Source organism: Homo sapiens, chromosome 12 (genome assembly GCF_000001405.40).
Source record: "Homo sapiens chromosome 12, GRCh38.p14 Primary Assembly".
Taxonomy (NCBI): domain Eukaryota; kingdom Metazoa; phylum Chordata; class Mammalia; order Primates; family Hominidae; genus Homo; species Homo sapiens.
In genome coordinates, this window is record NC_000012.12 from 75,404,612 (window position 1) to 75,426,912 (window position 22,301).

General features: G+C 35.0%; 1 protein-coding gene across 9 annotated transcripts in view; it reads left to right on the forward strand.

Moving 5' to 3' along the window:
• Positions 1-22,301, forward strand: part of GLIPR1L2 (GLIPR1 like 2) — a 41,600-nt gene that overhangs the window by 13,523 nt on the left and 5,776 nt on the right. For 4 of the 9 annotated variants that reach the window (NR_072995.2, NM_001270396.2, XM_011537949.2 and 1 more), the window contains 3 exons: positions 5,823-6,068; positions 8,987-9,090; positions 18,293-18,378. Coding sequence is in view for 8 of the 9 variants with exons in the window: in NM_001270396.2 (NP_001257325.1) it covers positions 5,823-6,068; positions 8,987-9,090; positions 18,293-18,378 (436 nt within the window). In the remaining variant the exon portion in view is untranslated. Of the gene's footprint in view, positions 1-5,822; positions 6,069-7,610; positions 8,579-8,986; positions 9,091-18,292; positions 19,430-22,301 lie in introns of those variants that run through there. The other 5 variants (XM_047428339.1, XM_047428338.1, XM_047428342.1 and 2 more) reach the window with 2 other exon arrangements.

Consider the following 22,301-nt stretch of genomic DNA (forward strand, 5'->3'; position numbering starts at 1 on the left):
AAATAAAGATGTAGTAAAAATGAATTTCTTGATATCTATTACTTTATATGTATCAAGTGAAACAATAAAACAACAAATGTGTATTTAACCCTTTTTAGTTTTTTTGCTGTTGTTATTCTTTTATATTTACCTAACATGCATGTGCCATAAGAATAGTTAACAAGGAAATAACTTGAGATGCTAGGTAGCTTTGTTTAGTGTTATGTCTTACTAAAAATAATTTCCAAAATCTTTTTAGTAACTTATAGTCTTAAAGTTATGTTAGATTAAATTAATAGATATTCATTGATAATTTCTAAGTAAGATAAACTGCTAAAACATACATTTTTAAACATAAGTTTAAGTTTACACACTTTTAGTTTTTAATACTATGAAGCAGAAAATACCTATAAAAGCTAGTGAGATGGTATATTCATAAAATTTGCTAGTCTACTATAGAATGCTGGTATGTGACAAATAATTCACAGTAATTTACTTCCTAGTTTTTCTCTGTGAAATCAACGGCACTAATGTATACAAACACTTTGTATGAAAAGTTTACAAGGAATGTAGGATATGTTTTTGTCAAGAGAAGGAGAAAGTAATTTTGTCTTAAAATAAAATGACTGGTCAAGATGAGAAAGAAGAAAATTTAGGACAATATATGTGGCAGACTGCCACGATTACTGCTTGAGACCATCACTACAACAGTTACTACTGTTACTGCTTGAGACCGTCATTACAAGACTGAACAGAGGACAAACGCAGAAGTGAAAACTTAAAAGAAACTGTTTTGAAGGAAGGGTAACATGGGGAAGAAGAAGAGGGCTCCCTGCCTCTAGTGAGCAAGGGCAGCCACCCTGAGCTTCCACAGCCCTTTGTATTTATTGGGTAGAATGAGCAGGGAGGAAGAGGTAACAATTGGTCAGCTGAGTAATTGATCACAGGTTCAAATTATTACTAATAGGCTTCAGATGTACCTAATCACAAAAAACACTTATGCCTGGGTCATGACTGCCCTCAGCATTCTTTCTGGGCAGCAGACGCAGTTTGTCAGTTTGCCAGTTTGCCAGCAACCCACTTTCATGAGAACAGTTTGCAGTTTACTCATATAGCCTCTAGTGGTTATATGAGTTGATCATGTCCCTCACTCTTTCGGCCTTCAACAAATATAGAAATATGGATATAGAAAGTTTGAAAAGTCTTGTGAAAAGAAAAATTTATGTTGCATGGTCAAAGCTGGCTAAGACCAAATGGTTTTATTTATAATGGTTTTTTAGAAAACCTTAAATGACATTTAAAATTAAAAGTACACTGATGCAAAACTAGAATTTGATTTTTTCTCTGTAAAAATGACAACATTTACTTAGGTTACTGGTCTGCTCTTAATAAGAAATTGTCAAAAGTTTTTTTTTTTTTTGCTTTTAAAGTAATCGACTTAGAATAAAAAGATTGTGTATCTTAAAATAATTTCCTGTGCTTTATATCAACTTTATTATTTTCCTGATTATTTAAGAAAACCAAGTATTCTCACTTTTAAAAGAGCTAAGGTCTTTTTTTAAAAAAAAATTATGTTACCCCCATAGTTACTTTTGAAATCTTTTGTCATATTGGTTAAATAGATTGCTTAAGTATTGTTTCATAGCTGTCTAAGATCTTATTTAGTCAACTGTTCAAAACTTTCGAAATTTTTTATGACATTGCTTTTCCAAGATCAAATTCTAAATGAAACCTTAATTTTGAACTGAACTTGAAATTTCCCAGAACCATAGACTATCTCAAAGAATTTTTTCCTTTACTTTGTTTTTTTAAAAAAGTTAAAACTAATTAGACTTATTTAATAGGTTAAATTGCATGAAATGCATTGTCAAATAAGAAGAGAGGTGTTGGGCATGGTGGCTCATACCTGTAATCCCAACACTTTGGGAGGCTGAGGTGGGAGGATCACTTGAGCCCAGGAGTTTGTGACCAGCTTTGGCAATATGGTGACACCCTGTCTCTACCAAAAAATAAAAGAATTAGCTGGGTGCGGTGGTGCACACCTGTAATCCCAGCTACTAGGGAGGCTAACAAAGGAGGATCAGTTGAGCCCGGGAGTTTGAGGCTACATTGAGCCACAATCACACTACTGCATTCTAGCCTGGGCAACAGAGCAAGTCCCTATCTCAAAAAAAAAAAAAAAAAGAGAGAGAGAGAGAAAGAGAGAGAGAGATGCAAATACGAGAGGGGCCTGACAAAGACTCTCTCTCTACTTAACCAAACTTTAGTCAGACTTTCCTGAGCCCTCTCTGGCTAGGCCTGGGATTTAGGCCCTGTCCTATGGCCTGCATCACCCAGTTTTCACAAAAGTCCCACCTAGCCCAGTTTAAGGAGAGTCTCCCACACTCAATATCTGATTACTCTGAATATCATCTGATCAAAATCTTCATCCCCTCCCCTTGAGCTCTACCTGGCCTGACCTGACTACACTGGCCTGTCTTCAGCAAGAATCCTGTTAGATCAATGTAGCAAGAACCCCCTCAAACTTGATGTCTCCTCATAATAATTTTTTATTCATTGACCCCCTCATCCTACTCCATGGCTATAAATCCCCACTTATCCTTGCTGTGTTTGGAGTTGAGCCTCAAATGTCTCCCCTGTTGCAAGTCTTCTAAAGCCTTCATTACTGTGTTAACAAGTGTCATGAATATTTTTTTCTTCAATAATGAAATTTTTCATCTGCAACTTTATATCCTTCAGCTTATTCATTGAGATATTCCCATGTATTGAATGGATGAATAAATAAATGAATGTGTAAAAGCACAAAGGGAAAATTAAAAGACAGAGAGAATAAAATGCAAAGTTCCTAAATCTTACAAGTGGTGTGGAACTATAAAACAAAATAAAGGGGAGAAAATTAAGAAATAACAGAAGCAAATTTTCTAGAGCTGAGGAGAGACATAAGTTTTTAGATTAAGATAAATGTCAGGGAAAATTGTGAAATACAATATTTTGTGCACTGTTTATCTTACACATAGAAATTATCTTTTCTATAATTGTCTTTGAGCTAGGCAATTTACAATTTTTAAATTGTAGAAAAGTAATTGTAATGTAACTAATTTTGCTCATAGAAATGCAAATTCATTGTGTCTGATGAAATGTAATTGACTATTTCCCTGTGGATAAGACCTAGTTTTTGCATTTATTTGTGAATGGATTTCAGCACTTCTTGACAGCATGTAACCTTGAGAATTCTTTGGATTTTTCTTGAACAAGCTATAATATCTTAGTAGTTCCCTCATTAATTAATCACTTAAAATCATTGACACATGTATGAGAGTTTATGATTATACCTTCCTTTTAAAATTATTTTTTAATGGAGTCCACCAAATGCTAAGCCCAATTAATGAGAAAAGGCCCATACCTAGACATATTCCAGGGAAATATATTGAAATAAAATCTTAAAATCTTCCTGTTACCTATAAGAGAGTACAAATTAGAGTATGGATTCAGCTTTTCTAGCTAAACAAAGAGTAATGGCTAACAAAAATTTTTTGCCTTCTCAAAGCACATTTATCAACCTTGTCTTGACATATTTCATTAAATATCTCATTAACTGCTTCTTGAAACTTTAACCTCTCTTTTCAATTATGATTTTTATTCATAGTTGAATAAAAGAATTTGGAGCTCTTACAATTTATTTGCACATAGTCATGAGAAGTAAAATGCTTATAAACTTAGAGTTGGGAATTAGATTTCATGGGTTTAAATCCAGGCTCCACAATTTTACTGTCTATGAGACATTTAATACATTTAAACTACTTAACCTCTTTGTGTTTTAGTTACTTCCTCTGGGAAAACAGAAATAATAATAATAATAATGCATACCTCCTAGGGTTATTGGAACATTCAGTGAGATAATACATAAAATACACTTAAAATAGTGACTGCTATGTAGTAAGAATGAGGTATGTGAAGTATATGCATAATAAATCAGGTTGAAGTGTAGTCCATGGGACATTGTTTGCAAATAGGAAACAATCTAAAGGTCTATTAATGGTGAAATGGTTACATTTATTATAGGTATCCGTGCTGCGGAATACTATGCAGACCATGTAAAAATTAAGCAAATCTAGTTATGTTAATATGGAACTCTTTCTCTACATGCAAACTGAAAGTTAAAGGCCAATAATATTATATATGATATGATCACAATAGTGCAAGGGAAAAAAATCACAAAATACCCATTTAAAACAGCCAAACTTATAGTTAAATGTGTGTATATGTTTGTAGATACAGAGATAGAGAGATGTATAAACAGGCAATTTTTTTAATAGTGGTTACCTTAGGGGAAGGGAAGTAGTAGGGAGATATTCTAAAGGTCTGATATGTTTATTTTCTATGTTGTATATATGTGTAATCTATGGGATTCACTAAGAAAACTCTAAGGCAAGCTTGTTCAATCTGTGGCCTTCAGGCTGCATGAGGCCCAGGACAACTTTGAATGCAGCCCAACACACATTTGTAAACTTTCTTAAAAGGTTATGAATTCTTCTGCGATTTTTTTTTTACTAGGTCATCAGCTATTCTTAGTGTTAGTGTATTTTATGTGTGGCCTAAGACAATTCTTCTTCCAATGTGGACCAGGGAAGCCAAAATGTTGGACACTCCTGCTCTAAGGAAGTATGAGTATTGATTTTCAGATGTTTACTTTCTGATACACTGTAACATATGTATTTAGTATTTTTGGTTTCACCACTATTTTGTTGATTTTTCTAGTGTGTGGTTTTTGTTCTTGTCCTTCACTAACAGTTAATTTAATGAGTCTCTAAATGATGATAAAAGCACACATTTCTGGTTATTTCCAGATAGCTAGCCAGGGAACAGCATCTTATGCTATTTTCTCATATTTCTGCAACAAACTTTATATGTGCCTTATTTGTTAACACTCACCAACTACTACCATGTGTTAAAAGATTTTTTTTGGGTGTGTGTGTATATATATATATACACACACACATATATATATTCTCTGTCTTCTCTTATTCTCTAATCTTATATATATATATAGGATCTTATATATATAATATATATGTAATCTGATATATATATAAGGTATATATCTAATCCGATATATATATAAGATGTATATCTAATCCGATATATATAAGATGTATATCTAATCCGATATATATAAGATGTATATCTAATCTGATATATATAAGATGTATATCTAATCTGATATATATAAGATGTATATCTAATCCGATATATATATAAGATGTATATCTAATCCGATATATATGATGTTTATCTAATCCAATATATATAAGATTTATATCTAATCCAATATATATAAGATGTATATCTAATCAGATATATAAAAATATACATAATTCTAATAAAGCAATGTGAGGACAAAATTTATGCTGACTTAGCATTTTATTCTTGACAATATGATATTTTGCATATAATCATTACTTAATAAATACCTCTTAATATTTTAGATTGTTGTATTTCTGTGTACAAAAAGGCATGAGTTTAAAAATATATACTCTGAGCAGACTATAGGTAAGTGTATTACATACTTCTGAACAGACTACATGTAAGAGTATTATCATTTCCATCATCTAGCATTCTAATATTTTAATTACAAATATATACATAGTCCTTTGTCTCAGGAAATGGTCATTTCATTTTTTATTATCCCATGGAAGTTTTTCCCAGCAGAAATTTCTCAACCAAGATGCACAAGTACAAAGTTAGAATTGTTTCCTTTAAATCTAATGATAACTCAAGAAAAAATATTTTAGACTACAAAAAAAAACTTATTTTGTTCTCTTTGCTTTTTGAATATTTTTCAGACTTGGGATGTAGCTTTATCACGGACTGCTAGAGCATGGGGAAAAAAATGTTTGTTTACGCATAATATTTATTTACAAGATGTACAAATGGTCCATCCTAAATTTTATGGTATTGGTGAAAATATGTGGGTCGGCCCTGAAAATGAATTTACTGCAAGTATTGCTATCAGAAGTTGGCATGCAGAGAAGAAAATGTACAATTTTGAAAATGGCAGTTGCTCTGGAGACTGTTCTAATTATATTCAGGTATGTAATTTTTATTTTGTTATTAATTCAAACACTTCTTAATTGATTTATGCCTGGTTTTATTATGTTTCAAATTTGTACATAAACTCAAATAATAAAATTATCACATTTAATAAGATCACAATTTTAATCAATCTTCCTAGTCTTCAAAATGTCTACCATCCCATCTTTTATATGAACCATACAATTAAAACATTATTTTAAATATAGTAAACCTAATCTCCATGTTCAAAGATGAAAGGCACTTTCCTAAAAATAATGTACACTGGAAAAGGAGGAAAGAAACCAGTAAATAAAAATACTTTATAAATGATTGACTATAAACATATGTAGAATATGCTTTTGGACATATCAGTACACATACTACTGTATAGCTGATTGTTTAAAACATTTGAAATGCAAATTAATAGTATTATTTCCCTGCCTCTGGTTCAATAATCCACCCTCACACTTTATACTCCAGGAATATTGAAGCACTTTTCATTTCAAGTACATAACCTTTGTTATTTTATACATCACATTGTTTAACAATAATTTATTTATATGTCTGATACTACACTGAGGGCAGGGACCTTACCTTTTCATCCATATATTCTCAACATAACAACACGACGTTATTTAGGTCTGCAATAAATATTTGTTTCAGGAATCAAGAAATTATTGCATGAACTCCCACATTTACTTAAAAGTTATTCAATCAATAGACCCTGATGTCACGTTTTATGTAGAACTTAATACTTTGGAATTTGTTCATGTTGAACTCATGTCTTTCTCTTTCATCCAATCATACTTCAAAAATTTTTTCATCAGTTTTTTTTTTCTGATCATTTCTTTCTTCTAGAAAGTTACAGTGATTCTCCATTGACTTGCTCCTATCAAACCTAGCCTCTTTAATATGACTTTAATACTCAATAAACTAACCAAATCTACTCCCTAACATAGTACTCTGTGTTTTTACTCCTTAATTCTAGTCTCCTAGACCTTTTCGTTTCCTGCATTTGACATGCTTAACTTCACTTTAACTCTTGCAGATACTCTATTCTTTATTCTTTTAATGTATCACCTTTTTAATGTGTCTCTTTATTTCTTTAAGAATCACACTTTTAAAACCACTAAGGCTTGAGATAAAAGAATGAAACAAGAATGGTTCCTCTTTCTTGCACAGAGGTTAACAAAACAAAACAGTACTTTTTGGTTCACTTGGAAGTATTAGAAATATTAAAGTTTTACAGATAATTTCTGGAATGCCTTTGATTATTCCCATCTTTTTCACTCCAATTCAAGATCTGTTTCTCTTTTGTAGGAACCAGCTCTTTTATTTCATTTTTTAATGAAAAGGCCAGATTTTGTTTTATCCTACAATAGAATTTTCTTAACAAAGAGAAGGAGAAATGCCAATAGCATTCAATACTTCTCTACTCTTGTATCATTTTTACTTTTCTATAATTGGATTGTCTCTCTTTTTCTCCCTTTTTTCCACAACTTCCATCTTTTAAAAACTTTTTCTCCTCTTTCTCATCTTCCTCTCTTCCAATAACCTAGAACTTTCCAATTCAACCAGAGGTTGAAAATTGATTCATCAGGCATGACGTCCTTTGGCTCTGAAGCATTATTCTGGATCAACCGTGTTCTCAAACAGTTCTTACAAGCTAAAATTGACAAATGGGATCTAATTAAACTAAAAAGCTTCTGCACAGCAAAAGAAACTACCATCAGAGTGAACAGGCAACCTACAAAATGGGGGAAAATTTTCACAACCTACACATCTGACAAAGGGCTAATATCCAGAATCTACAATGAACTCAAACAAATTTACAAGAAAAAAACAAACAACCCCATCCAAAAGTGGGCAAAGGATATGAACAGACACTTCTCAAAAGAAGACATTTATGCAGCCAAAAAACACATGAAAAAATGCTCATCATCACTGGCCGTCAGAGAAATGCAAATCAAAACCACAATGAGATACCATCTCACACCAGTTAGAATGGCGATCATTAAAAAGTCAGGAAACAACAGGTGCTGGAGAGGATGTGGAGAAATAGGAACACTTTTACACTGTTGGTGGGACTGTAAACTAGTTCAACCCTTGTGGAAGTCAGTGTGGCGATTCCTCAGGGATCTAGAACTAGAAATACCATTTGACCCAGCCATCCCATTACTGGGTATATACCCAAAGGATTATAAATCATGCAGCTATAAAGACACATGCACACGTATGTTTATTGTGGCACTATTCACAATAGCAAAGACTTGGAACCAACCCAAATGTCCAACAACGATAGACTGGATTAAGAAAATGTGGCACATATACACCATGGAATACTATGCAGCCATAAAAAATGATGAGTTCATGTCCTTTGTAGGGACATGGATGAAACTGGAAACCATGATTCTCAGCAAACTATCGCAAGGACAAAAAACCAAACACCGCATGTTCTCACTCATAGGTGGGAATTGAACAATAAGAACACATGGACACAGGAAGGGGAACATCACACTCCGGGGCCTGTTGTGGGGTGGGGGGAAGGGGGAGGGATAGCATTAGGAGATATACCTAATGCTAAATGATGAGTTAATGGGTGCAGCACACCAACATGGCACATGTATACATATGTAACAAACCTGCACATTGTGCACATGTACCCTAAAACTTAAAGTATAATAATAATAAAATAAAATTAAAAAAAAAAGAATATGTTATTGGTAGAACCTATTGAAGTATTTATCTAAATATAGTGTTGAAAATGCTGCCCGAACTCCTTGGTAACTCTCTACATGTCTCTAAATGAAAATAGTTTATATTTCTTGAATTGCTTGGTGAAAAGTTCTATGTGAATGGAATATATTATTGTTTATAATATGAAAGTCAATGTTTAAAATTAAATTTTGTGTCTTTCTTGAAAATTTTATTTTAGCTTGTTTGGGACCACTCTTACAAAGTTGGTTGTGCTGTTACTCCATGTTCAAAAATTGGACATATTATACATGCAGCAATTTTCATATGCAACTATGCGCCAGGGTAAGTTACTTAAAATTAATAAAAGAATATAAAAATCAGAATATTTCAAGGTGAGTTTTTCTAACTTTTAATATATTTTTATAAGTGTTTTTGAACTATAAAATAAATATACTTTACATTGAAATATTTTCAATCAATTTTATAATGAAATAAGTCTTAAATTGGACATATTGATTGTACTTATACACTAGCCAAATATTACTTCCTGGAGTAACCTTCACTTTAGTATTATTTCACAATATTTCACTTAATTAGCATAAGACAAATTATTTTCCAAAATAGTTTATTCTAAAATTTATAGTAAAAGTAGAAAGAAAATTAGATGTGTTGAAATTTATTTAGTAAGAATTGTTTCATGAATATGTCAGTTTTGTAACATGAAGAACACTTTTAATTGACCACCTCTTGGAGATTACATTATTAACTGGGACCTGTCTTATATGTATAAGGAATTGTAACATCTCAGAGATTGAAAAGCACTTCAAACATCTTTTAGTCAAGCTATTCATATATGACTATACCATATACCTGGGTGCCTTCAAATGGTGGAAAATAACTGCATCTCAAAATAGCTTCCATTTCTTGAGAGCTCTTTTGGAAAGTTCCAAGTTTCTTACAGGTCAATATAATACTATAAATAATATTATTATAACTTCCAAATAAGTTAGAAAATGTTTGAATTAACATCTTAAATAAACAGTAAGAATTGACTGCCTACCAAGATTGAGAAGGAATTTCTGCCAAATAAAATGCTTTGGGACTAAACCAGACAGAAAAATTTAAAAAGCAGTGATTACTGATTGTATTCCCCTGGCTAAGAAAAACAAAAGAACTATGCTGTGCATCAAATTAAACTCAGAAAGCTCTTTCCTGATGAGAAGTCTTGCTAACTTTGAATATAGACATGCAAAATAAGTTTGGAATATAGAGTTGCAAAACATTTTAGGTGTCCTTTCACTCCTACAGACTGGAAGCATTGGGATACCTATTACATGCAGAAACTTTAAAAATTACTACTGATTGGTCTTGCAGATTCAAATGGAATTGTACACTGGGGAGGAGGGGGTTGGTAGAGGTTTTTCTGGGGCACAAATCCTCATTTATTCACTCAGCAAGTATGTACAGGCTCTGTTTTTTCTGCTAACAAGACGCAAAAAGACACCACATTGAGTTTATAGTCTTGGCAGGGAGACAAACACTTTTTAGTAAGTGAACACATAGATAAATAACATTTTAATTAGACAATAAAATATACTGTAAAAAGCAACACTAGTAAATAGAGAATGACTGGTCTAGAAGACAGATAGGGTAGTCATAGAAGAAGGGTGTCATTTGAGCTGAAAACCAGATGTTCCAGGTAGAAGTATGTTCCAGATAGGAACATGTATAAAAATCTCAGAGATTGGAATGAGTTTAACATGTCAGAGAAAGGAATAACTGTGGTTAGATGTAGGAGTTGAGGTGGAGAGTTAGATAACAGCTAGACCAAATATAATAACATACATTATGTTAAAGATTTTGGAATTTATCCTAAGTAATGACAAAGCCATTGGAAGGTCTTAAGCACAGAGTGACATGATCTCATTTTTGTTTTGAAAAGAACACCTTAACAAAAAGATTACTGTGGCTGTTGGTAGAGAATGAAATATAAGGAAACGAGTGTAAAGAGGAAGTACAATTAGGAGGCTGTTGCCTGTAGTACAGGCTACAGACTGATATTTTGGATTAGGGTTTTAGCATGTGGATTGTTTATCAAGTTGGATAATGAATTACCACAAATGTAGTGATTTAAAGCAGCAACATTTATTATCAAACAGTTCTATAGGTCATGAACCCAGGCATATTGTGGCAGGATTGTCTTCCCAGGGTCTCAAAGGCCAAAATCCAGATGTTGACTAAGTATTCACTTGGAGGATTGGCGAAGTACCTGCTTCCAAGCTCATTCAGGCTGTGAGCAGAATTTAGCTCTGTATGGTGATGGGACTCTTGTCCTTGTTTTCTTGCTGGCTCTGAGCCATGTGTTGTCTCTTCTTCTGGAGCTGCCCATGTTTCTTTGACACATGGCCCCACCATCTTCAAGTCAGCCAAGGTATGTCAGAGCATTTTCATGTTTCAAATCTCTGTCTCCTCTTCTGTGACCAGCTAAAGAAAACTCTCTGCTTTTAAAACACCCATAGGATGAGTCAAGGCCAACCTAGATAATGTCAATATTTTAAGGTCAGTGGTGCCTTATAATATAATTATGGAAGTAAAATTCATCATATTCACTCTCCTGAGAATTATGCATGGCATGTACCTGAGGAGTGGAGGATCTTGTGATTCATCTTAGAATTCTGCCTACCATAGAATGGAAATGGTGAGGAAAGGTCAGTTTCTGGGTATATTATGAAGGTGGAGCTAATAATACAAGCCGATTGGCTTGAGTTTAGGGATAAATTGAATAAAATAATCAAGCAACACTATGCCTATGTGTTTAGTCTAAAAAACTGGGTGGATGGTGATTTCATTAACTTAGAGAAGATCAAAAGATATGTTTTCTATTTGGGTATATTAGATAGAAAAATAAATGTAGGAAATGTGAATGAATCATGAGAAGCAGATAGCCATATGAAAGTATGTGGTTGTTTTCTAAGTAGACGAAGCTTCTGGTATAAAGGCCCTGAAGTGGAAGTCACAGTGAATTAGATCAGCATGTGGGAGAGTGAATATGGAGACAATTTAAGAACTAAGTCCTGGGGCACTACGCTATTTTAAACTAAGGCAAAAGAGCTAGTAAAGGAGAATGAAGAGAGGTTAATGAGGTATGAGGGAAACCAAAAACCTGCTGGTAAGGTACTTGGAAGTCAAGTGAAGAACATGAGCTAAGAAGCCCAAACTGGTTAACTCTATGAGACGCTGCTGAGAGAATGAGAAATTGAGGAAGGAGAACTGACAGTTCCATTAGATGAGATGAAGGTATTTGGTGACCTTAATAAGAATAGTGAGTACAGGGGTCTCAGATGACTACAGTGATAAGATGAAGCTACCAGTTGTTGAAATTACCCTTTTTTTCTTGCTACTCTCTTATTGCACAAGCTTCTTTGTCTTGAAATTTGTTAACCATTTTTCCTTTGATACAAATATTGGCAAGTCTACCTTGAAGGATCTAGATTGGAACAGTTATCAGTCAACTCAGTCCAATTCTTATTTGATTATGTACCTAAAATAGGCAATCACATTATCTCTCTTAAGGATAGTTGGTAGAAAAATCAATCCATTACAATATTATAAAATACTGGGTAGAAATGAATGTAAAATAACAAAATTGAAAATTAAAAGGTATAGTGGGATGAATGGTGCCCCCCCTACCAACGTTATGTTTAGGTCCTAATTTCCAGAACCTGTCAATATTACTTAAATGGCAAAAGTGTGAATATTACCTAATATGGCAAAGATGTGGTTAATATAAGGATCTTGAGAGGAGCTTATTCTAGATTATTTGGGTGAGGGCTAAATGCAATCACATGTATACTTGTAAGAGATGGAGAGGAGGATTCAGCATAAGACACACAGAAGAGGAGGCAGTGTGACCACAGCAGAAGCAGCTACAGTGATGCATCCACAAGCCAAGGAGCTAAGGCCACCAGAAGCTGGAAAAATCAAGGAACAGATTCTTAAGAGCCTTTGAAGGGAACACAGCCCTGCCAACACCTTGATTTTGGACTTTGGGCCTCCAGAACAGTGAGAGAATAAATTAATGTTGTTTTAGCCACCGAATTTGTGGTAATTTGTTAATATAGTTACAGAAAATTAATGCAGAATGGAAGAATAAAACAGACTTGGCCATGCATACTGAAAATAACAAGTCAAAGCAACCTTGAAAATTTTTCTCAGAAACACAAAGGTGAAGAATAGAGGTCAAAATATATATGAAAAAATAAAGGAAATATGTATGGCATATAAATCTACAAATTGGTGTTTCTAAAGAATAGAGAAGAGCCAAGGAAAGAGAAATAATAAAGAAAAGAAAATGTTCCTAATCTACAAAGATATCTGTATAAAGATTAGAATACTTTATAATGTATCAGAAAAAAACTGAAACTATATTACATATAATTATTTACTAGTCCTTATTTTTCATTTTCAAAGATAAAAACTCACACATTTTAAGTACAATTTTAAAAAGTAAAATAAAACAATATTAATTCGATTACTCTAAAACTTAAATATTAGAAAGGACACAAGGATGACCATAAGAATTTATGCTTCATTGATAGGTAATGTTATTAACTGACCTAGGAAAATATATAGAGTGGAGGGAAAATAACTTTTATTTTTAGGCATGTTGGATCTGCAGTTGACTACAAGACCTTTCATTTAGTTAAATATAATTTTGTTGTAAGTGTGCCAAAGACATTGCACATTACATTTTATGTAATGTAATTTATAAATATTTCCGCTTATTGTGTTATATAGATGAGGGTCAATAAGTAGATCCAAATCCATATGTAATGATTGTGATAAAGTTGGCGTTTAAAATCACTGGTTAAAGTATTTAAGTAATGGAATTAGGAGAGCCTACTGGCTGGATAAAAGTAAAACTGAGTTTTTCACTCATCTTAGAGGATTAAATTTCTAATACATAAAAGACTTAAACATTAAAAAGTGAAGTCATGAAAGCTATATTAGTGAATTTACTTACAATTTGGAAGGTATAAGGACTTACCTATCAGAACATTAAAGTCCAGAAACTATAAAGGAACACATGTATGAATCTGAGTATAGAAAAAATTATTTATTAAATAGAGAATCCTTTCCCCATTGCTTGTTTATGTCAGGTTTTTCAAATATCAGATGGTTGTAGATATGTGGCGTTATTCCTGAGGCCTCTGTTCTGTCCCATTGTAGTAATAGTTTGAAGTCGGGTAACGTGATGCCTCCAGCTTTGTTCTTTTTGCTTAGGATTGTCTTGGCTATTCGGGCTCTTTTTAGTTCCATATGAAATTTAAAGTAGTTTTTTCCAGTTCTGTGAAGAAAGTCAGTAGTAGCTTGATGGGGATAGCATTGAATCTATAAATTGCTTTGGGCAGTATGGCCATTTTCATGATATTGTTTCTCCCTATCCATGAGTTTGGAATGTTTTCCCATTTGTTTGTGTCCTCTTTTATTCATGTCCTTTGCAGGGACATGGATGAAGCTGGAAACCATCATTCTCAGCAAACTAACACAAGAACAGAAAACCAAACACCACATGTTCTCACTCATAAGTGGGAGTTGAACAATGAGAACACATGGACACAGGGAGGGGAACATCACACACTGGGGCCTGTCGGGGTGGGGTGCGAGGGGAGGGATAGCATTAGGAGAAATACCTAATGTAGATGGTGGGTTGATGGGTGCAGCAAACAACCATGGCACATGTATACCTATGTAACAAACCTGCATGTTCTGCACATGTACCCGAGAATTTAAAGTATAATTTTAAAAATTAAATGAATAAAAGAAGAGACAATAGAATGGATAGGGAGAAAATAGGAGAGAAAATAGACATGACACCTCAGTGAAATTAATGAAGCAGTGTGGCAGGAGTAAATAAGTTAGCACCCTGGAAGGAGGATAGGAGGTTATAGCCAGTGAGTGAAATGTCTGATTTTGTGAGTTCAGAGGTGGAGCTGTTTTAAGAGGTAACAGGATCCAGAATGTAGCTATAAAAGTGACAACTATGGAGAATTGGGAAGCATTTTGGTAGTAAAGACATCTAGTAATGGAAAACCCAAGTTATTGGATGAATTATCCATATGAATGTTGTGATCAAATAGGTACCAACTTCTGAGAAAATGAAAAACGATTGACTAAAAATGATGTTTCAGGTGCCAAAGTCTTCAGTGAATAAGGAGGCATGATCTGAAGGTAAATATCTCTCTCAAGGAGGATTAGAGGATGGCACAGCTAAATAATATCAACCTTAAAGGAGCTTTAACTGTTTAACTGTTTTAACTGTTTAACTGTGTTCCACAGTCCTTTAGGTGCAGGATATGTTAAGTGAAGGGAGGAGACCCAGCCAACAAAGTTTTACAGAAAGTGATATAAATAAAATAGCTTTGCACATACAGGGATAATTTGAGACAGAAAAACAACAGAGTTCATACTTTCGTTGACCTTGAATAGGCCCAGGAAGTAGTCATGGAATTTTTGGCAAAGACAAATATATTAGATGTTGCAGAAAGACAGCCAGATGGGATCTCTATTATAGTTTATCTTCCTTGCTGCTGCCTACACTGTATTTCTCTTAAACTTATTGGAATAGATTCTTCTTGGAAAAAAGTAAGTCTTCTTGGAAAACCCATAGATCTTCCAGAAACAAACTAGAAGTCAGTGTTGTGATACATAAGAAGTAGTGAAAAATGAAACGAGTTGTAAGTAGTCTAGTTGTTCTGGCTGTATGAGATGGAAAAATCGACATCTGTTTCATGTGCTTTGGCTCTTGTTCTGTGAATAATGTACAGACTATGTGAGTCTGGATGGAGAACTTTGAAGAATCTGCCTACAAATTGTAATTGCTAGGTTGTCAAGCTATGGGCTGGATTACCTCCTTGATGAACAAGATGGTGGCAGATACGAGTCTAGTGTAGGCAAAGAAAGTTTCTACAACCACCAGAATTGTGCTCTCATTTTGAAAGACTGTGTATCTATATCAAAGTTTGAATAATGGCCTTCTAATGAACTTGGGGTTGGAAATGGGTACACTTCTCTGTTAGGCCGCCCAGGTAACATGTCCTTATCTAGGATCTGGACACATGCTCTATAGGTAGCATTGTACTGAGGCTATGGCCAGATAGAGGCTAAGAAAAGTTCTAGAAGACTATGTTCAAGAGTCTTGACTTGGTCTTGGTGAACCACTGGTCTGCTTCTTAGAAAATGCAAATTTTCTAAGGCACTGCCAGGGCAGCTGTGAAATTTCAGTGGACTTTGCTGCTTATAGATAGTTACCTATTATTTCCTCCTAATCTGGCCCAATAATTCCAATTGAAGTTGGGAGTTGTGTTGTGGATTCAGACTCAAGTTAATTTAGGTTCACTTTCTTAGAAACTCAGAACTAGAGGAAGATTAACATAGGGGAGGGTATTAGCCTGACATTTCTGGCTGTCTAATAGAAATAATGATTATAAAACTCAAATCTTTGAAAGAGGGGACTCATTGTAGTCTACCACAGTGTGGATTTATTTATTTTCAGTTTTATGTATGTATGTATGCATTATTATATTTGTTTATTTGCCTTCCCACAGTTTTTCCACACTACAGATATCAGACATTATGATCTTGGGGTGATGGGACTATGCTCTAGTTCTCAAAGGCAGTTTTTATAGTGAGTAGCTTTTTACTTAGGTATAAGGACAGAGGTCCCCCATCCTTGGGACCTTAGGAGACAATACATCTGCTTTTGTGTTGGAGGCATCTGTTTTGGTGAAAAGGGGTTGGGACAGGAAAAATAGACCAGGGTGTAGCTAAAGGTGACTAGATCAACTCTTGAGTTTCTGCTCTGGCTGGGTTCTAAACAAAATGCATTTCTTTCTTGAAATAGTTGGATAATAGAACAGTGAAATTGAAGAAGTGATATATGATCTACAAATAACCACAAACCTCTGGATGTTCCTGATAGACTTGAATGCTTACAATTCAAGGGTATCAGATGCCTTATTGGGTATCACCCAAACTCTCTGATTAAATAAGATATATCTGAGAAATGTGATACTCAGGTTTTTGAATATATATTTCTTAGGCTTGGCCATTCTTCTAGAAGGCCTAACCAAGGACTTAAATAATGAATGTTTGTTTTTATAGCTCCCAATTATATACCAGGTAAATAGGCAATACTGATTAAATTACCAGGATTAATGATGCTGCCCCCACTCAAATGTATCTTTTCCCTACTTGTTTTTTCTACCTTTCTTATCCTAGATCATTTATTTAAATTTCCCAATTTAAAAGTACTTTAGGGCCTTTTTTCTCATTTAGCTGTAGGCAATTGATGTAATTATTTCTTCTCTCTTTAGCTCTGTACAATGGGTTAAATCAACTTTGTAAACTCCCATTTATATTTATTTGCTTCTTTATAAATTTATGTGTTTTTATATATACCCCCAAAATAATTGATGCAGATGAGTCTTTGGGACACAAGCATTTCAGAATTTTGTAAACTCTACAGATACTTAATATATCATTTCTATGAAACTTTTTATGTATTTGGGCCAACCAGGAAGCAATTAATTATAAAAAATTCTATATCATTTATTTTTAAATTTTATTTCTTTATTTCTTTATTTATTTTAGAGACAGAGCCTTGCTCTGTTGCCCAGGCTAGAGTGCAGTGGCACAGTCAGCTCACTGCAGCCTCAAACTCCTGGACTCAACTGATCCTCCCTCCTCAGTATCCCGAGTAGCTGGGACTACAGGCACGCACCATGCCCGGCTAATTAAAAAAATATATCTTTTTGAAGAGACGAGGTCTTGCTATGTTACCCAGGCTGGTCTCGAACTCCTGGTCTCAAGAGATTATCCCACCTTGGCCTCCCAAAGCACCAGCATTACAGGTGGGGAAGCTACCCCACCCAGCCTACATCATTCTTTTTTTTTTTTTTTTGAGACAGAGTCTCACTCTGTTGCCCAGGCTGGAGTGCAGTGGCCCATCTCAGCTTACTGCAAGCTCCGCCTCCTGGGTTCACGCCATTCTCCTGCCTCAGCCTCCCGAGTAGCTGGGACTACAGGCACCTGCCACCGCACCTGGCTAATTTTTTGTATTTTTGGTAGAGACAGGGTTTCACCGTGTTAGCCAGGATGGTCTCGATCTCCTGACATTGTGATCTGCCTGCCTCAGCCTCCCAAAGTGCTGGGATTACGGGCATGAGCCACCGCGCCCGGTCTACATCATTCATTTTTAAAGGATACATTTTGCTATAAACTAAAATGAAAGAAGCTTTAAAACCGATTCTTATATTTAATTATAATACTTTGTTTCTAGGGCATGGGAATTCGTTTCAGAAAAGACCGTTTCCTAGGGGAGAACAAAAGGGAAACATTGAATCTCTAATTAAAGTATTTCCTTAAGTCCAGTTTCTTAACCCGCCTTTTTAACCTGATTAAAAATTAGTAACTATATTATTTAAATTACATGTAAAAATGGAAGCTTATTCTAACTAAATGTTTTCTGCTTTTTTGTTTGTAGAGGAACACTGACGAGAAGACCTTATGAACCAGGAATATTTTGTACTCGATGTGGCAGACGTGACAAATGCACAGATTTTCTATGCAGTAAGATAAAGAAAATAAACATGAAAAAAATGCATAATGGATTGGACAAGAAAAATAAGCGATTGAACACTAGTTTTTTATGGTCATGTTAATATTATTCCTTTGATCAGAATGCTACTATTATGTTATCAAAGGATGGTTGACACAGTATCATCTTTAGATTTTTCTAAACTGCAGAGCTTTTTCTGTTCTATCTTAACCCTATTCCTTCCCCTGAGGACATACCAGAGTGTCAGAAAGAAAGAATGAGAACTAACAGTTATACCCTTAAAAAGCTTCACAGTTTATGCCCAAACAGCAGCCTGTTTGATAATAACTGCTTTAAAGGATAGTATATTCCAAAATATTTATGAAGTAGCATATATTTAATACCCTTTTCTTTTAGTTTTTCCTCCAAAAAGCTGAAATCTCCAAATATTTCAAAAGTAAAAAGTAGAAAATATGTTTGATTACATTTTTCTTTTAGTTTTTCCAAACATGAGAGAATATACTCCAAAAGTATAACTGTAGCTAAAATATACAATGCTTAGAGGAATATGGTAGGAGATAAATTTGGATAATAAGTAAATAGCATATTATGTTGTTTTTTAATTATTATACTTTAAGTTCTGGGGTACCTGTGCAGAACGTGCAGGTTTGTTACATAGGTATATACATGCCATGGTGGTTTGCTGCACCCATGAACCCATCATCTACATTAGATATTTCTCCTAAGCTATTCCTCCCCTAGCCCTGACCCCCTGACAGGCCCCAGTGTGTGATGTTCTTCTCCCTGTGTCCATGTGTTCTCATTGTTCAACTCCCACTTATGAGTGAGAACATGCAGTGTTTGGTTTTCTGTTCTTGTGATAGTTTGCTGAGAATGATGGTTTGCAGCTTCATCCATGTCCCTGAAAAGGAAATGAACTCATCCTTTTTTATGGCTGCATAGTATTCCATGGTGTATATGTGCCACACTTTCTTTATCCAGTCTATCATTGATGGGCATTTGGGTTGGTTCCAAGTATTTGCTATTGTGAACAGTGCTGCAATAAACATATGTTTGCAGGTGTCTTTATGGTAGAATGATTTATAATTCTTTGGGTATGTACCCAGTAATGGGATTACTGGGCCAAATAGTATTTTTGGTTCAAGATCCTTGAGGAATCCCCACACTGTCTTCCACAATGGTTGAACTAGTTTACACTCCCACCTACAGTGTAAAAGTGTTCCTATTTCTCCACATCCTCTCCAGCATCTGTTGGTTCCTGACTTTTTAATGATCACTGTTCTAACTGGCATGAGATGGTATCTCATTGTGGTTTTGATTTGCATTTCTCTAATGACCAGTGATGATGAACTTTTTTTCTTGTTTGTTGGATGCATAAATGTCTTCTTTTGAGAAGTGTCTGTTCATGTCCTTTGCCCACTTTTCGATGGGGTTGTTTGTTTTTCTCTTGTAGATTTGTTTAAGTTCTTTGTAGATTCTGGAAAAGAGACAGGGTCTTGCTCTGTCACACAGGCTGGAATGCAGTGGCATGATCATAGCTCACTGTAACGTCGAATTCCTGGGCTCAGGTGATCCTCCTGCCTCAGCCTCCCAAGTAGCTAATACTACGGACAGGTGCCACCATGCCCAGCTAATTTTTTTTTTTATTTTTTGCAGAGACAGGATCTTGTTGTGTTGCCCAGGCTGGTCTCAAACTCCTGGCCTCAAGTGATTCTCCTACCTCAGCCTCCCAAATATATTATGTTTTTGTGCTGAAGAAAAAACAGAAACAAAAACTAGTGGACAGTTTTACTATAACACCATTACAGGGATGAATCCACCCTAACATTTCTGCTCTTGCTTCACTTGAATCAAGATGCAAACTCTTGCTCTTCCTCTCTTCCTTGTCTTTCTTTTTCTGAGAAATTCAATGCTAAAGTCATTGGACAGGTCAGGGGAATGTAGTCATCTACACAGAGGGGCATCCAAAGGTGATATGTTAGAGCCTAAACAGCATAACAAAGGATCCACACGAGATGCAGTGGGCACGGAAAGGAAACCTAAGCAAGGTGAGGATGCTGTCCACATAGAGATGTGGCCATGTGTGGGAAGTCAGAGACCTCATGGAATGAAGTAACTGTCCATACATGAGGTTTGGGGTATCAGAGCCAGAGCAGAATAAAAAGATGTCCATGCAGGGATGACTCAGTATGTAGCATCTGTGCCCAGGCAAGGTGAGGAGAGCATCAACATGGGATGGAAGGGAGAGTCTGAGCCAGTGAGGAAGGCATCCCTGGGGGGATGGTCCTGCAGTGGTTGTTGGAGGCCAAGAAGAATAAGGAGAAGAGTCCATGTTGGAGTGGGCTGAGAAGAGATTTCAGAACCTAAGCCAGTAAAGGGGGCATCCATACTTAGGGGCAATCACACATGAGGTGTCTGAGTGCAAATTAGGTGAGGAAAGTTTTAATGTGGGGAAGATGACTTGACATGGGTGAAGTCAGGGCCCAAGTGGGGTAAGGAAGGAATCCACACATGCAGAAGCCCAGAGCTGGGTTTCAAAGTCTGAGCACGGTGGGAGGGTGTCCCAGCACAGGGCCAGCCCCTAAGTTGGCCAATTAATACAAGACAATTTTTCAGCATAAACATATTCCAAATATTACATTGGACAAACTTATACTAAAACAATATTTATTGCTTTCTGAGATTCAAATGTAACCTGACATCACTTATTTTTATTTGCTAAATCTCAGTGTCTAAGCAGAGTGAGGAGGGCACCTATGCGTGCTAGGGGCTAGAGACAATGATGGGAGATCGGAAGCATACTGGGGGATTGATCAAAAAAATAAATTAAAAGTATAATGGGGGCTAGTTTTCTCACTGTCAGAAATGGAATACAAATATGTAAAGGAAAAAAGTAAGCATGAATCTTATGGTGGTGAATTGGAATTTTAAGTGTTGGAAATTAAGAATTTTAATAAACATATATATAAATGTGTATATATACACAGATAAAACTATAACTATGGACTCAGTTTCAACATGTGAATAATTGTAGGGCCTCAAGAACAGAACCAAAACAATAGAACAGAAAATACAACTAGAGAGAAATATATAGATACTTAAATAAGTAATAAAACAAATTTTACAGAAATAAAATTACTTGAATCTTAAACATTGAAAGTGCACACTATGTGCCAGGAAAAAGTGACACAAAATAGTCAACACAGTAGACATAGACTAGTAAATTACTGGACTTCAGTGGAAAAGAAAGAATCTTAAAGCATCCAAGCAAAAATGTAAGATCAGTTATTAAGAAGTTTAACAGTCTGGGTTGAATTAGAAAAATAGTCACTCTAAGTATTTTAGCAATAAAGTATTTAACATAGGAAATACAGTTTATCTGAATACTGTAAACACTAAGGGAGTGAAGGTCAGGGAAGTGGCCACAGTAAGGCAGAGAAGTGGCTACAAAGCAGATAGTTCTCCATTGTATTATACTAAGAAGCCACTGTGAAACTCACATTGATCCATCTTACCTGGCCTACTATCACCCTGGTGGTTGCTTTTCTTATATCTTTCCTATTTCATTTGCATTCCTGTCATTGGCAAACTCTTACCTGAAGCTATACAGAGAAAATAATTCACAGAACTGTACTTCCTGGTTTCAGCTCTACAATACAAAATTGACTTCACACTCACGTGGTAGTAATGCTGCTTTGGCAATTGATGTTCCCACGTAAAGGGGGAAAATTCAGTCTGGCTTCAAACTTCTCTACCATAACAGTAAATGCTAAGAGATGGTGGAATGATGCCTATATACCCTTAATATAAGAAGTGTCAACCAAGAATTTATATACAGCAAAACCTATTATTCAAGTGTAATGAAATAGACAGATGTTTTGGGAGCATGCAGTTACATTTGGTGTATAGTTCTCATGAGCACTTCTTCAATAAA